Below are 15238 nucleotides of genomic sequence, written 5' to 3'. Positions count from 1 at the left end.
ACCCCATCTCTAAATAAAAAGTTTTTAAAAATTAGAGTAACAGTGAAGCAGATTGAATGTTAAAACACCTAGCCTCTGAAAACCACTGTGTTCATTCATTATTCCTGCTGTCCTCTCAATCTCATGAATCAGGCTGGGGTGTTGGGCAACCTGGCACACTGACTGAATACTGATCACATTAAATTTTTAAAAGGTCTCTGATTATAAATAGAATACATGCTTTCTATACATAAACCAGAAAATGGGGAATTATAAAGAAGAAAGTTATCTAGCTTCAGTAGAATTTCCCATCTTTACTCTTTCGCAAACATTCTTGTAAAAATCTTTCATTTGAGTAACGTGATTTTATAAGAAAAAAGATTTTATCCTCCTCTTAAATACAATTCAGACTATAACATTTGGCTGCCACGTCTCATTTTTAGTGACAATTTTAGTGTTTTGCCTTTTCTCAAATGTGTGACAGAAAATTATTTTTGTCCAAGTGATCCATGCACTTGGTAACAAATCCAATATACAGGAGGACATTTGTTGAAAAACAATGGTTTCCTTCACCTCCTCAAGGCTCACAGAGGGCAACTTTTAATTTTTTTCAACTGTACCCATATTTAATTCTTAGATTGTTACCTTCTTAAGCTTAAGTAATGTGCTTTTACCACCATGTTTTGATTTATCAACTTTTAGCACCTGATATGAAAGTGAGAATGTAGCTCTTTAAGCTAGTTTTCTTTTTTCTCTCCCAGGTTTGATGTTTATAATATTTTAAATTTGTCTGTTAGGTCACCTTTTTTAAATAATCATCTTTTTTTTTTTTTTTTTTTTTTTTTTTTTTTTTTTTTTTTTTTTTTTGAGATGGGGTCTGTCTCTGTCACCCAGGCTAGAGTGCAGTGGGAATCATAGCTCACTGAAGCCTCAAATTCCTGGGCTCAAGTGATCCTCCCACCTCAGCTTCCTGAGTAACTACGACTATAGGTTTGCACCACCATATTTGGCTAATTTATTTAACTTTTTTGTAGAGACAGGGTTTCCTATGCTGCCCAGGCTGGTCTCAAACTCCTGGCCTCAAGCAATCCTCCCACCGGCTTCCTAAAGCACTAGGATTACAGGTGTGAGCCACCACACCTGGCTTTTTCAACTTTGGATAGTATTTCTTGATTCCTTATGCTGTATGTCAGTAATGTTTGGATTGCTACCAGTTCTACTGTTCACTTTTTGACAATGTTGCTTTCCACATTGCCAAAGCCCTGAACCCATAACCTGTATTTGTGCTTTGCCCCAAAGTTGACCATCTTATTCGTATATGATTCTTAAAGTTGAAAATCCATAAGGCCGGGCGCAGTGGCTCATGCCTGTAATCCCAGCACTTTGGGAGGCCGAGGCGGGCGGATCACGAGGTCAGGAGATGGAGATCATCCTGGCTAACACCGTGAAACCCCGTCTCTACTAAAAAATACAAAAAAAAAAAAAAAAAAAAAAATTAGCCGGGCGTGGCAGCGGGCGCCTGTAGTCCTACTCAGGAGGCTGAGGCAGGAGAATGGTGTGAACCCCGGAGGCGGAGCTTGCAGTGAGCCGAGATCGCGCCACTGCACTCCAGCCTGGGCAACAGAGCCAGACTCCATCTCAAAAAAAAAAAAAAAAAAGAAAATCCATAGGCAACATTTACATGACTACAATTCTGTGAAATGATTCATTGCCTTGTGTGTCAGGATTGGATTTTAGACTTGCACTGTGGGTCTGGTTTTAGGATTCCTGGGCCAATCAAAGGATGAGATATCTAGCCCCAAAGTCAAATGGGATTTTTTGTTTTCTCACTCTTCATCAGTTGTTTAAATTTGTGTTACCTTTTAGTTTTTTCATATTTGGACCATGACTTTCTTAAATTTTTTCCCTAGTATTTCTGATTGCCTTTTAATGTGTTCATGCATTATTTGCCATTATTATGATCTCAAAAGTTTTCTAGGCTCTCAATCTTGTCTAACCTATCGAGTCTTCTTTGTCTAAGCTGTATGCCGAGATTCCTTTCTCGTTCTGTGCCGTTCTGAACTGGTTATTCACTAAGCCCACTACAGAGCTGTCATCCTGGAACTTCTTTCCATGGCTGGAAGTGCTGTTTCCTTTTCCCGTGTCTTCCTATTTTTTTGGTTTATCCCTCATTTTGCTGCAGTACATGCTTGAGTAACTTCTTAAGAAGTGGTTTGTAGGAGGTAAGTTTTTCAAGTCCTTTTTTATCTGAACGTATTTACTTAAAAATTGTTCTGACTCTGGCTTGTTTTTTCTGTTTATCTTTGAATGACAGTATAATGTAGCTGTTTTCATAAGGGCCCTTTGTCATTCAAAAAATACTGTCTGCTAACTCAGTTGTCTGTAATGTGAAGAGAGTGATACCTGTTGCATTGTGGTTTGAAAGATGAGCATATTTAAAGCATCTGGCGCACAGGAGATGTTCAGTACAAGTTAGTTCTTGCTTTCTCTTCTCTCTCTCCCAACACACATAGCCTATTTACCCAGCCAAAATCAGAAGCAGAAACCTTGGCAATAGGGGTCAGGTGATTTTTGACTCTGGATTACAGCTGTAGCTTTGAGGGACAACCTGGATCTGGAGTTGAAAGTCAGTTTTAAGTTTAAAATAAGGAGTTAGAGTCAACTTTCCTGGTTAAGAGAAACCTAAATAGGAATGCTCACTGTAAGTGCCCTTTTGCTTCAGCATTTTGGGCAGAGGATACCCAACTCCATCTGAGAAGTGTCTAGTTTTTATTGTTTGGAATCTAGATTGTCACTACAAATTGAGCTGTTTTTGTGTGTGGGATAGGGGAGGAAGAGGAAATGGAGAAGGGGGAGATGAGCAGGAAAGGTAATTGACATTTGTTGATTACCTGCTGTATGCCAGACAAGGCAGAGAGTGAGAGTCAGCACATCCCAGAGAGATAGCAACAGAATTATATGCATATGGAACTTTTTCATAACCCTAGATGCTTTTACGTATATTATTTCTTTTAACCCTCACAGTGATCCCATGAACAGGTATATATTATTACCTCATTTTACTGTTAAGTAAACTGAGGCTCAGTGAGGTTAAATAAATGTCCTGGGGTCATATAACAGGTGAGTGGCAGAGATGGGATTAGAACTCTGTGATTCCAAAACCTGTGTTCCTGTCCTTATGCCATGCTGTCTCATGCCAATTGTGTGGCCCATAATTAGGTCTTGTAATTATGTATCCTTGATGATCGCATAACTGTGGTGGTGGAGTGGTGGATGGATTTTTAGAGTTTGCTTCTGAACTGAGTCTGGGTTATGCTATTTGGAACTGTCATTGATGGTGAGATAGAGATGATGGAAGAAAACCCAAATATACCAGAAATGGGTAGTACACCTCCATTGTCTATTTATATTTTATTCTCATCAAGATTTCCACCAAGGTGACTCACACCACTAATCTTATCACTTTGGGGGGCCGAGGTGGGAGGATTGCTTGAGGCCAAGAGTTTGAGACAAGCCTGGGCAACATAGCGAGATTCTGTCTCTACAGAATTTTTTTTTTTTTTTTTTTTTGAGATAGCGTTTCACTCTTGTCGCCTAGGCTGGAGTGCAATGGCGCCATCTCAGCTCACGGCAGCCTCCTGCTCCCAGGTTCAGCTGATTCTCCTGCCTCAGCCTCCCGACTAGCTGGGATTATAGGCATCTGCCACCTCGCCTGGCTAATTTTTGTATTTTTAATAGAGACAGAGTTTCACCATGTTGGCCAGGCTGGTCTCAAACTCCTGACCTCAGGTGATCTGCCCACCATGGCATCCCAAAGTGTTGGGATTACAGGCGTGAGCCACTGCACCCGGCGGTCATATGGATTTCTTTCAGCTTATTCTTTACTTGCATGCTCTCTTTCCTGGACTTCTAGCTTTTATTTAATGTTCCGTCTAGGCATAGCAGAAAATAAATAAGAAAGGAAAAGATGATGTTCACTTGCTCAGTGCTATTAGGAGAAGAAGTGAAATGAAGAAACATTTATAAAGTGCTGAGCGCAGTGCCTGGCACAAACACCACCTTTGCAAGTTCATTCCTGTTATTGTTCGGGATTTAGACGGTGAAAGGGGCGATGATCTTCCAGGGCCTTGCCTTTGTGCCATCTAAAAGATCTTTAGCCAGTTCAGCTAATTTACAACTAGAAATCATTTGAACTTGGCTGGGCGCGGTGGCTCACGCCTGTAATCCCAGCACTTTGGGAGGCTGAGGCAGGCAGATCACCTGAGGTCAGGAGTTCGAAACCAGCCTGACCAACATGGAGAAACCCTGTCTCTATTAAAAATACAAAATTAGCCGGGCATGGTGGCGCTTGCCTGTAATTCCAGCTACTCAGGAGGCCGAGGCAGGAGAATCGCTTGAATCCGGGAGGCAGAGGTTGCAGTGAGCCGAGATCATGCCATTGCACTCCAGACTGGGCAACAAGAGCAAAACTCTGCCTCAAAAAAATAAAAAATAAAAAAAATTAAAAAAAAGCATTGAACTCCTGTTTGTGTTAGCATCGTGAGTATGTCCTAAAAGAAGAAATGTGTGGCTGGCTTTATCACCGCAGGCAGCTGACAGAATCTGGAGAGAGAAGGGGAACACAGACAAACCAGGCCAAAGAGCTGGTTTCGACCTGTGGTCCTAGAGCCTGGATCAGCTGCCTTCCACCTTGGTTTGCCGGAAGCCTTTGTAAGGTGTGTCCTAAGTCAGTCATTTATAATATGACTAAAGGTCTGAAATTTGCAGCTGTACAGAATGTCTGTCAGTTTCTCCCATTGGCTGTACTCCTTCTGGCCTCAGGAACTTGGCACAAGCTGTTTCCTTTGCCTGGAACATTATTTCCCTGCTTTTTGCCTGCTTAACTCCTCCATTACCTTCAGATATCAGCTTAGATGCCACATCCTGCAGGAACTTTTCCCCAACTTGCAGCTCCCACTCTGGATTAGATGCTGCTGCTCCTCCTCCCATAGGCCCTTCTGTTTCCTCAGTCATTGCTCCACTCTCATATTACTGTTTTTTTTTTGTTTTGTTTAGTTTTGGTTTTCCTTTTTTTACTGCACTGTAACCTCCATCAGGGGAAGAACGATGTTTGTCTTGCTTGGCATTGCTTAACTTGAGCACAGTGCCTGGCACATAGTAGGTGTTCGAAAGGAATCCTGTATTATTTATTTTTAGCCATTTTCATTGTAAACTTGCACCCTGGAATTCGTAGGAGTCTTCCATGCTTGGAAATGGCATTCCATTGTATCTGTGCCCCTTTGACTGCAAGATTAATGTCAGAGCTCCAGATACTAAATGCAGTGGAGAGGGAGATGAATGAAGGCTGGGTGTTCAGAGAAGTCTCATAAAGGTGCTTAGACATAAATGGAACCTTCAAAAAGTGGCAAAGATATAGGTAGGTGTGCAGACAAGCCTTCCAGGAAAAACAGGATGGGAAGAGAGGTATAGAGGCAGAAATGCTGAGGGTGTGTTTTTGAGACTAAGAGGAGCTTGTACTGACTTGTATTAAAAGATAGGTGTTGGTTGGTAGATGATTATGCATCCCATTGAGGTTCTGGAGCCTCAGCTAGGGTGGGCTCATTGACCTTTTGCTAGTAAATGTCAACTTTCTCACTCCTTAGTTTTGAGATACACGAGTCCTAGCTTTTTGTGACTGTAGCGTAAGACCCCACCATTGTCACCTATGTTGAGATCTTCCTGGTTGTTTAGAGAACTAAGCATTTTATGCTGACTTAAAAGAGTCTGGAAATTATGGTCTTTTTATCTTTCCATTCATAGCTCCATCCTATATTCAATTTAGCAAGTACAGTTCCAAAATTGTGGGTGGTCTTTACTTCCCAAGTAAGTGGGATACCAGGCTACCCTTGACTTGGGACCGCCCCTGCTGGATCTATCATTTCTGCTTGTAAATGAATAGCTTTTGAGTCTGCTTGTTCCCAGAATACTCTCTTGTGGTTTTCGGTACTTTCTCAGTTCCTCTGAGGCTGATCAACTAGACACAGACAAAACTGAGATTCTGGAACCATAGTCATCCCACCAGGGCCCACCTAGGCCCAGTTCCCTGAGGATGCCCTGCCTGGGCAGCCAGTGGCCTCCCTCTCAGGAACGCATTTTCTAAACTCGAAAGTTCATGTTTTCAGGTGACTTCTTTAAATTAAAAAAAAAAGTTTTTAAAGAGGTAATAAATACATTTAAATACCAAGAACCTAAAATAAGTACAAAGGCATTTACTGGGAAGAGTCTTTCTTTCACTCTCCTCCAGTCCTCTTGTCCCCCTCCCCAGAGCACTAGTTTTTTTGTTTTTTCAGAGAAACTCTTTGTGAGTACAAGCATGCATGTATCAATGTAGATATCCACCTAGACCATGTCAACACAACACAATGGTAGTGTACTGTACACACTCTTCTGCACCTTCTTTTTTTTTCACTTAGTATAATATATCTTGGAGTTCATTTCTCTTCTGTACATAAACCTCTGTTTTTTTTAAGGACCACATAGTATTCCATTGCTTAGGAATTTAAATGTACATCATGTCCCCTACTGATGGACATTTAATTGTTTCTTTCTCTTTTTAATTAAAATTTTATATGCTCAAACACTGTTGGAGGGAGGAAAGTGGAAAAGAAATTCTTCTGATCTTCTCTGAATCCCCCATTTAGAAAGTACCATTGTTAACACTTTATTCAGAAATATTCTTTGCCCAAAGAACAGCTCTCCGGTTCCCATCTAATTTGTTAGCTAGCTAGTCGGTTATCTAATTTATCTGTCATCCACTGTTCTATCTGTCAATCAGTCTGCTTATCCTTCTTATACAAGGCTGATGCATGGTCTACCAAATTCAATAACCAGTTAGAGTGGATGCCCAACCAATAAGAACTGATGGCATACTGCTGGGAAGTAACTGATTATATAGCTTAGTGCTACTCAAAGTATGGTCCATGGACTGATGCCAGTGTACAGTTGAATTATAACTGGCCTATGAAGAGCTAGATAGAGAAGTTGAGAGTATTTAGAAACTTTATGGCAAAATGGCATTGCTATGACATCCAAGTAGGTGACCAATGCAATTATCTTGTGGAACAGGGTAGTTTGGGTGTGTCACTCTTGTGTGGTGAGTCACATGTGGTGTGAGCTATGTATAAGCCATCCACCATAGGACTACATACTGGTCTTGACAGATTGGAAATAAAACCCCGGTCCTTCACCACAGATAGTTTGAGAAGCAGTAATCTGTTTATCTCTCTTAACGACCTATCTAATGTGTCTGTCATCCATCTCTTAATCAATTCATCTATTTACTTACCTATCGTTTTATTTTTCCATCCATCCTTCTAGCTATAATTTTTGCATCAACCAATTAATCATACCTTTCATTAACTTAATAATCATTCTAAGAGGTTCAGTCTTAAAATGGAAATCTATGGCACAAAGGTTGTATATAATCTGTTTTCTAGTACATAATATATTTTATGTCTTTGTGGCTTCTACAGTAACTCATTGTTTTAAAATTTTGCTGTGGCACATCTCAATTCTGAACACTGTACAAAAATCCAATTTCTGTTCTTTTTTGTGACTAGTCTGCTGGTAAGCATTGCCAGTGACAGACTCAGGAGTCAAAACATGGTGACTGGAGAAAAATACACATGCTAGGTTGTTTATTTAAAAAAAAAATATTCATTTGTGATGGCTTTTCTGCAGATATTAAAATACTGAATATCTTTCTCCTAGTTTGCACTTGCAAAGCACTTCTTAGCCTAGGTTTTCAAAGGGGCACCTGGGCACCTATCATAGTTGAGGCTGCAACTGTGTGTGATAACCCATCAGAAAGGAGAAAACCCAAGCAAATGGTAAATGTGACTATAATGAACAAACGTAACTTTTACTGACTTCATTTATTTTGGGGTTTGTTTTTAAAAAGCTGGCTTTTGTTATAAAAATAATACATACTCTTACCAAAAAGTCCAAACAGAACTGAAAGTTATAAAGTGAAAAGTAGGGGCTGAGCAGTGGCTCATACCTGTAATCCCAGCATTTTAGGAGGCCAAGGCAGGTGGATCACTTGAGGTCAGGAGTTTAAGAGCAGCCTGGGGCCAGGCGTGGTGGCTCACACCTGTAATCCCAGCACTTTGGGAGGCCGAGGCGGGCAGATCACGAGGTCAGGAGATCAAGACCATCCTGGCTAACACGGTGAAACCCCATCTCTACTAAAAATACAAAAAATTAGCCAGGCGTGGTGGCGGGCACCTGTAGTCCCAGTGACTCGGGAGGCCGAGGCAGGAGAATGGCGCGAACCTGGGAGGCAGAGCTTGTAGTGAGCTGAGATCGCGCCACTGCACTCCAGCCTGGGCGACAGATCGAGACTCCGTCTCAAAAAAAAAAAAATAAATAAAATAAAAGAGCAGCCTGGCCAACATGGTGAAACCCCGTATCTACTAAAAATACAAAAATTAGTTGGGCATGGTGGCGTGTACCTGTAATCCCAGTTACCTGGGAGGCTGAGACACGAGAATTGCTTGAACCTGGGAGGTGGAAGTTGGAGTGAGCTGAGATCAGGCCACTGCATTCCAGGCTGGGCCACAGAGCAAGACTCTGTCTCAAAAAAATAAGTAAAAAAAGAAGTGAACAGTAAAAGTACTGCCCACCTCCCTGCCACCACCACCCTGCAACCCCAAGACACACACTAGGTTTACTCCTCAGAAGTAACTACTGTTCCCAGTTACTTGTGTTATCTTCCAAGGATTTATTATGCATATATGTATATATGACTTGACTGATAAAAACAGCATTAGTTTGTTTTTGCATTGTGGGAAGTCTCTGTTACTGGTTGAGCCTCACATAACCTCAGGACCGGGTAGAGTACAGACATGGATTAAATTCTGGAGAACTGGATGCAATGCCTGATGGGATGTCTCAGGGTGAAAAGCCTTATCGGGGTAACCATGATCTAGAGACTGGGATTTGACTTTTTGGTTCAAGAAAGTGACGTCTCTGCTGGCCCAAAACTGGTCAGGTTTTCGAGGACTGTCTGATGTGAGCCATACTGGGGAGAAACAGGGATAGAAATTTTCATTACAGTTCCAGAAGCACAGGTAGTGACTGGAATATTCTGCCACTCTGGAATGAAGGTATTCATAAGAGTGATTTAATTGCTGAAAAGTTGCTTTAGTGGTGCTGGAAAAGAGAAGAAGTGAGATCATTTTAATCACTGAAGGGATATTAGCAGGTAAATTTGACAGGATTTGGTGATGGATTGGATAAAGGCAGCGAGTAAAGCAGGAGGAAAGGAAGATTTGCAGATTGCTGGCTGTATAATGTCAGGGCTGGTGGCGCCTCTAATTGTAGCAAGCCGTACTGGGAGCCTTGGAAGAAGTGGAGAAATTATTTAACATATTGAGTTTGAAGTGACTTTAAGATGCCCAAGGGAGGAAAATGGGGTGTAGTGGAATGTGTATAATTATTCAAATCCTGGTGTGGTTGAGATTTCTTAGAGAGGTTACAGATAGAATGAGAAGAAACAAGAAGTACTGATGGACCCTGTAAAGAGATGGAGAGAGAAGAGAAAGAGAGGTAGGAGGAAATCCAGAGAGTGGTGCGTGGAAGCCAGGGAAGAAAGTCTTTCAAGAAGAAAGAATGGTTAGCTCTGTGGTGTGTTTCTCAGAGGTCAAGGAAGATAAGGACTGAAAAATGTCCAGTGAATGACTTTTCCACGAGGACACTTTCTTTCCCAGGATAGGTCATAACAGGGCCTGAGGTACTAATTCTTATGATAATTCAGATAATTTAGTTTTGAGAGACAGAAAAATAAGGAAAATAAAGATCTCAATTAGATAAGGTGTGAATACACTCCCACATAGTCCCACAAGTTTCCATATAACCTATAGTGTCTCTCACTTTATTGCCGTATACCACACGTTTGCTTGTTTAAGCATCCTATTAAAATGGGGTCCGAAATCAGTGTTTTATAACTAACTGAGCTAAGTTATAAGACTCGGGTAAAAACATGACTCTAATTGATATGATCATTACTTGCTGTGAGGAAAATTACAGTCTGCAATCCTAGCTTGGTAAAATCTTCGTCACAATTTGTAGTGCACAGGACTGTTATTGCTGGCACACGTCATAACTAAATTACAGCCATAAAAATAGCAGATTATGTTTGGAGAGTATCAGTAAAAAATTTATGGTTCCAAATATTATGTAACTGTAGTTTCAGATAAATGTTTATCTTTCCTATCTTTGTTTCTCCATTCACTGGAACTGATTTTGATACCTGGCAAAGGGGACTCAGATTAATGCAAGTAAGTTCGCCAGGCCAGTTTGCCCTTTCACAATATAAGGTAAATAAAACATGTTTAATTATATCAAACTGGTTTGAGTTTGGCTGCATTTTGTAGTTAAAGCTTGTATTGTAGTTAAAAGGCTATTCTGTATTTTGCTAATTTGGGAGCATTTGGTGGCCTTGTTACAGATTTGGGATTTGTAAAGACATGTGAATTTAGTAGGCGGGATTAAGAATCATAAAAGAAGCAGTAAACTTGAGTGCTGCTCATAAAATTACTTAGGTTTTCTGCAGATGCATTCTCTAGTGCAACCGTCCCCACTTTTTGGGTCTTTGTTTTAGGTATTATGTGAAATATAACCCTATGCATATGCAACTTTTGGCAAATAAGGATTTCTTTTTTTTTTTTTTTTGAGACGGAGTCTCACTCTGTCGCCCAGGCTGGAGTGCAGTGGCCCGATCTCGGCTCACTGCAAGCTCCGCCTCCCGGGTTCCGGCCATTCTCCTGCCTCAGCCTCCCGAATAGCTGGTACTACAGGCGCTTGCAACCACGCCTGGCTAATTTTTTGTATTTTTAGTAGAGACGGGGTTTCACCATGTTAGCCAGGATGGTCTCGATCTCCTGACCTCGTGATCCACCCGCCTCGGCCTCCCAAAGTGCTGGGATTACAGGCGTGAGCCACCGTGCCCGGCCGGATTTCTCTTACAAAATTATATCATCCAACTTATATTTGGGTATTCGTACTTTCGTGTGTGTGTGTGTGTGTGTGTGACAGAGTTTTGCTTGTCGCCTAGGCTGGAGTGCATTGATGCGATCTCAGTTCACCGCAACCTCTGCCTCCTGGGTTCAAGCAATTCTCCTGCCTCAGCCTCCCAGTTAGCTGGGATTACAGGCATGGGCCACCACGCCTGGCTAATTTTGTATTTTTAGTAGAGACGGGGTTTCTCCCTGTTGATCAGGCTGGTCTTGAACTCCCAACCTCAGGTGATCTGCCTGCCTCGGCCTCCCAAAGTGCTGGGATTACAGGTGTGAGCCACCACGCCCGGCCACATTCGTACATTTTAACATAAAATCCAACCATAAGGCTATATTGTAGAAAAGCTTGAAGGAAAGAAGGCAGGAATGGAGAAAGGATCAGCTACCTAAAAGTTGAGCTGTAGCCAAGGGTATGTTTAAAACATCTCTTTTTTACCTAGGCTTTTAAAAAAGTTTAGCTATCTTATCTATCATCTAAGAAAAGTTAACCTTGAGTTATTGATCTTGCATGTCTGCATTTGAAGTATGAAGATGACAGGGGCTGTGCTTTGGGCCTTGGAAAGCTGTGTTCTCAAGCAAAGGTCCAAGAGCTGTAATCCGTATGGTACACAGTGGAAACATTGTTCTTTGTATTTGTCTGTTGCTAACTTTTTAATAAACTATTAAGTAGTTGGTGATTATTAACAGTAGGAGCAGAATGTAGGGTCATTATGGACAATTTGGAGTGTCAACATTAAAGAAATGATTTTAAAGGTTAGATCCCAATTGTTGAGACTTTGCCTGAAACTTTGGCAGGTAAGTAGAGTGAGGGATGGACCAGCACAACCTTTTGTAATTATTAGCCGTAGTGAAGTGAGTCAAGTTTTGCCACAGTGCTTTTTGTTTAACCTAACAATTGGCCGGCCCTAGTTAATTGTTGAAAACCATTAAAGGACTCAAATTTCCCAGTTGCACATGCATTGGAATGTCCAGCTTACCTCATGTGTGTGAATAAAGGGCCAGTGGTGTGGCTAATTAAAGTGCATTGTCCTTTAAGCAAAGCGTCAGTAACAAATTAAGTTTTAAGAGTTCTCGAAAGGCCCTTCTGAGGACTGGTAAACATCTTGGTGGCTGGTACATATCGTATGGAGTCTAGGTGTGAAAGCTGCTGAAAACAAGCATTATAAACTTCCAAGTAAGTGTGGAGGTGTAAACTGATGCCATAGAGTTGCTTCAGCTGAAGCGAAAGATCATATTTACTGACACTTATTACAAATGGGTTTTTAAAACAATGTCTGTTTTGTACAGTGACAGTAAAGTCTGCCAAGAGTAAAACAAAAAGTTATATTGTGGAACAAGATAAAAGGACCCTGCATAATAAATAATATCGAATGCCTTAAAATATGAGGTTTCATTTCCAAAATATAAATATGAGCTCCTAAATGAATGTTTAAATAATTTGGTTTTTCTTTGATTTGCCAGTGACTTGATACGTAAAATAATTTTGGCTCTGAATATGTCCAGATCTAGGCCATCACAATAAAGAATACATCTGTATAGTAAATACAAAATAAAGCAACCACAAATGACATCATGTTTTAGTGATAGCTTAGGAATTGTTTTTTTTATTATGATAGACCAAAAGTAGTTTATTGGCTATAAATAATATATTTATTATCTGCCAGTTTCTAAGAGTAGCATGATATCTCTGATCCAAACTGTATTGATTCTGGTCGGGCTCGGTGGCTCATGCCTGTAATACCAGCACTTTGGGAGGCCGAGGTGGGTGGATTACTTGAGGCCAGGAGTTTGAGACCAGCCTGGCCAACATGGTGAAACCCTGTCTCTACTAAAAATACAAAAATTAGCTGGGTGTGGTGGCACATGCTTGTTATCCCAGCTACTCAGGAGGCTGAGGCAGGAGATTCACTAGAACCAGGGAGGCAGAGGTTGCAGTGAGCCAAGATTGGGGCACTGCATTTCAGCTTTGGGGGCAGAGCGAAACTCTGTTTCAAAAAAACAAAAACAAAACCAATCTATATTGGTTCTAACCTTTATCTATAGACAAAAGCATTGGTTTATGAAAACCATCAGAGATGCAAGCCATAGAAACTTTCAAAAAGTTCTTTAAGATGCAACTGTCTGGATCTGATAAATAGTTTCAATTGTTTTGCTCTTGATCTGGATGGGTTTTGAGCAGAGGAGATTGGGTGAAATTAAAGGTTTCTTAAAATTGTTGACACTGGTAGAGAGGCATTTATCTGAATACAGTGGGGAAGACCAGAGATGTTGCTTAAAGAGATTTTGTAAGAAAAGTAGGCACAATTCTTGTGAAAAGTGGGCTACGTGAATAAGGGCAATCCAAGAAATCATGTTAGTGCCCCTGTGTAGTTGTATGACTTCTGTACTTTTTCTTTCTTTCTTTCTTTCTTTCTTTCTTTTTTTTTTTTTTTTTTTTGAGACGGAGTCTCGCTGTGTAGCCCAGGCTGGAGTGCAGTGGCACAATCTCGGCTCACTGCAAGCTCCACCTCCCAGGTTCACAACGTTCTCTTGCCTCAGCCTCCCAAGTAGCTGGGACTACAAGTGCCCACCACCACGCCTGGGTATTTTTTTGTATTTTTTAGTAGAGATGGGATTTCACCGTGTTAGCCAGGATGGTCTCGATCTCCTGACCTCGTGATCCACCCACCTCGGCCTCCCAAAGTGCTGGGATTACAGGCGTGAGCCACTGCACCCAGCCAACTTCTGTACTTTTTCAAAGGTGAACTTTTGGGGAGGTGATTTCTTGAGAAGTGGGGAAGATAATGGGATAAGTTGTAAAAGTGCCCAGAAATATGAGTTTATAAGAGACCTTGAGAGCTACATACTAATGTAGCTGTCCATTAGTATGAAAGAAGACCAGACATGTTGTCCAAGCTGTCTATAGGAAAATAGAAGAGGTAACTTTAGGTTGTCGTGGCTCACACTTATAATCCCAGAACTTTGGGAGGCTGAGGCAGGAGAATGGCTTGAGGCCAGGAGTTTGAGACCGGCCTGAGCAACAGAGCAAGACCCCATCTCTATAAAAAAGTTTTAAAAATTAACAGAATGTGGTGGTGCACACTGCTATAGTCCCAGCTACTTGGGAGGCTGAGGCAAGGGGGATCACTTCAGCCTATGAATTCAGGGTTGCAGTGAACTATGATTGCACCACCGTACTCTGGCCTGGGCAACAGAAAGAGACCCTGTATATATATATTTTTTTCCAAGATAATTTTAGTCTTAGTCTACTCTGAATAACAAAGAAGAATGATTTATTCATTTAGAGGCATTTTAAGAGCAGTCTTTGTAGACCATTGCTAGATCTTTTTGGAATGGGCTGCCTTGAAAGCAGAGAGAATGTAACCATGTGTCTTTAAGTGGCATTGTTTAGTGGTTCTTCACGGCAGCCCAAAGAGAAAGTATCTGGCATCAGATTTGCTGGATGTGCAGAGATGCCAGTATCTCTCGTTTGAGCTAGCCTCTGCGGTGTTTTTGCTCTCAAACCTGGTGGTAGAGTGACGGCTTTGATTTGCTTCCTGCCTGAAGCCTGCTTTGGATGAATTTAAAAACCTGTTTGTTTCCCCATCGGCCGGCTGAGCCTTACCCATAATTCCTGAACTTTGATTATGGGGGTTATTACAGGACAAGAGCTTCTTTGTAAAAGAGCATGTTTAATACTCTGGGGTCTAGCGTGACTAGCGGATATAAATTGTATGGAAGCAATTAAATGCGAAGGAAATGTCATGTGGGCTGAATTTAAACATAACTTGCGGCATTGATTTTTTTTTTTTAACTTACACTAAGAAGGATGGAGAGAGAAAAAAGAAAGAGAATGGAAACAGGCCAAGCGAGTCAGAGAAGCACACGCAGAGACAAGAGAAAAGGAGTCATTTTTAACATTTGGTTAAAAGTCCAAAGCCCAGAGCTAGCATTATGTGAATTATACTAGTATTATGCCATTGCCCTTTAAATGAACTCTTTAAAAACACAAATGTCAGGGAAGTATACTGTACTTGGGGCTTGTATCTCTTTCCAGTTGCTCCTCTTTATCTTAAGGCATATATGTACATACAGCAGTGATTTTTTTTGGAATATGTTAATAAACAGGCCTGAAGGAAGCTCCGTAAACGATTAAAGTGCTTCTTTCCCTAGTTTTCTCTCCTTTTATGCTCACGGCCACTGCATGCCTCTTTTCTTTTCTT

The 15238-nt window shown here is 41.2% G+C and overlaps 1 protein-coding gene and 1 long non-coding RNA gene across 10 annotated transcripts in view, besides 1 other annotated feature; both read left to right on the top strand.

Moving 5' to 3' along the window:
- Positions 1-15238, top strand: part of WWTR1 (WW domain containing transcription regulator 1) — a 207554-nt gene that overhangs the window by 71322 nt on the left and 120994 nt on the right. The window lies entirely within an intron of this gene.
- Positions 1144-1643: an enhancer, noted in NCBI's record as "H3K4me1 hESC enhancer chr3:149369611-149370110 (GRCh37/hg19 assembly coordinates)". NCBI's record gives its function as "activates a minimal SCP1, AML or CMV promoter by ChIP-STARR-seq in naive H9 embryonic stem cells {active_cell/tissue: H9 hESC(naive)}" and the evidence as "EXISTENCE:reporter gene assay evidence [ECO:0000049][PMID:30033119]".
- WWTR1-IT1 (WWTR1 intronic transcript 1) lies at positions 1494-4542 on the top strand. Its single transcript, NR_174973.1, has 2 exons — positions 1494-3627; positions 4365-4542. It is a non-coding gene; the product is annotated as a WWTR1 intronic transcript 1 (long non-coding RNA).

This window comes from Homo sapiens, chromosome 3, assembly GCF_000001405.40.
Source record: "Homo sapiens chromosome 3, GRCh38.p14 Primary Assembly".
In the NCBI taxonomy this organism is placed as follows: Eukaryota; Metazoa; Chordata; class Mammalia; order Primates; family Hominidae; genus Homo; species Homo sapiens.
This window is presented reverse-complemented; position numbering and strand designations above follow the sequence as displayed.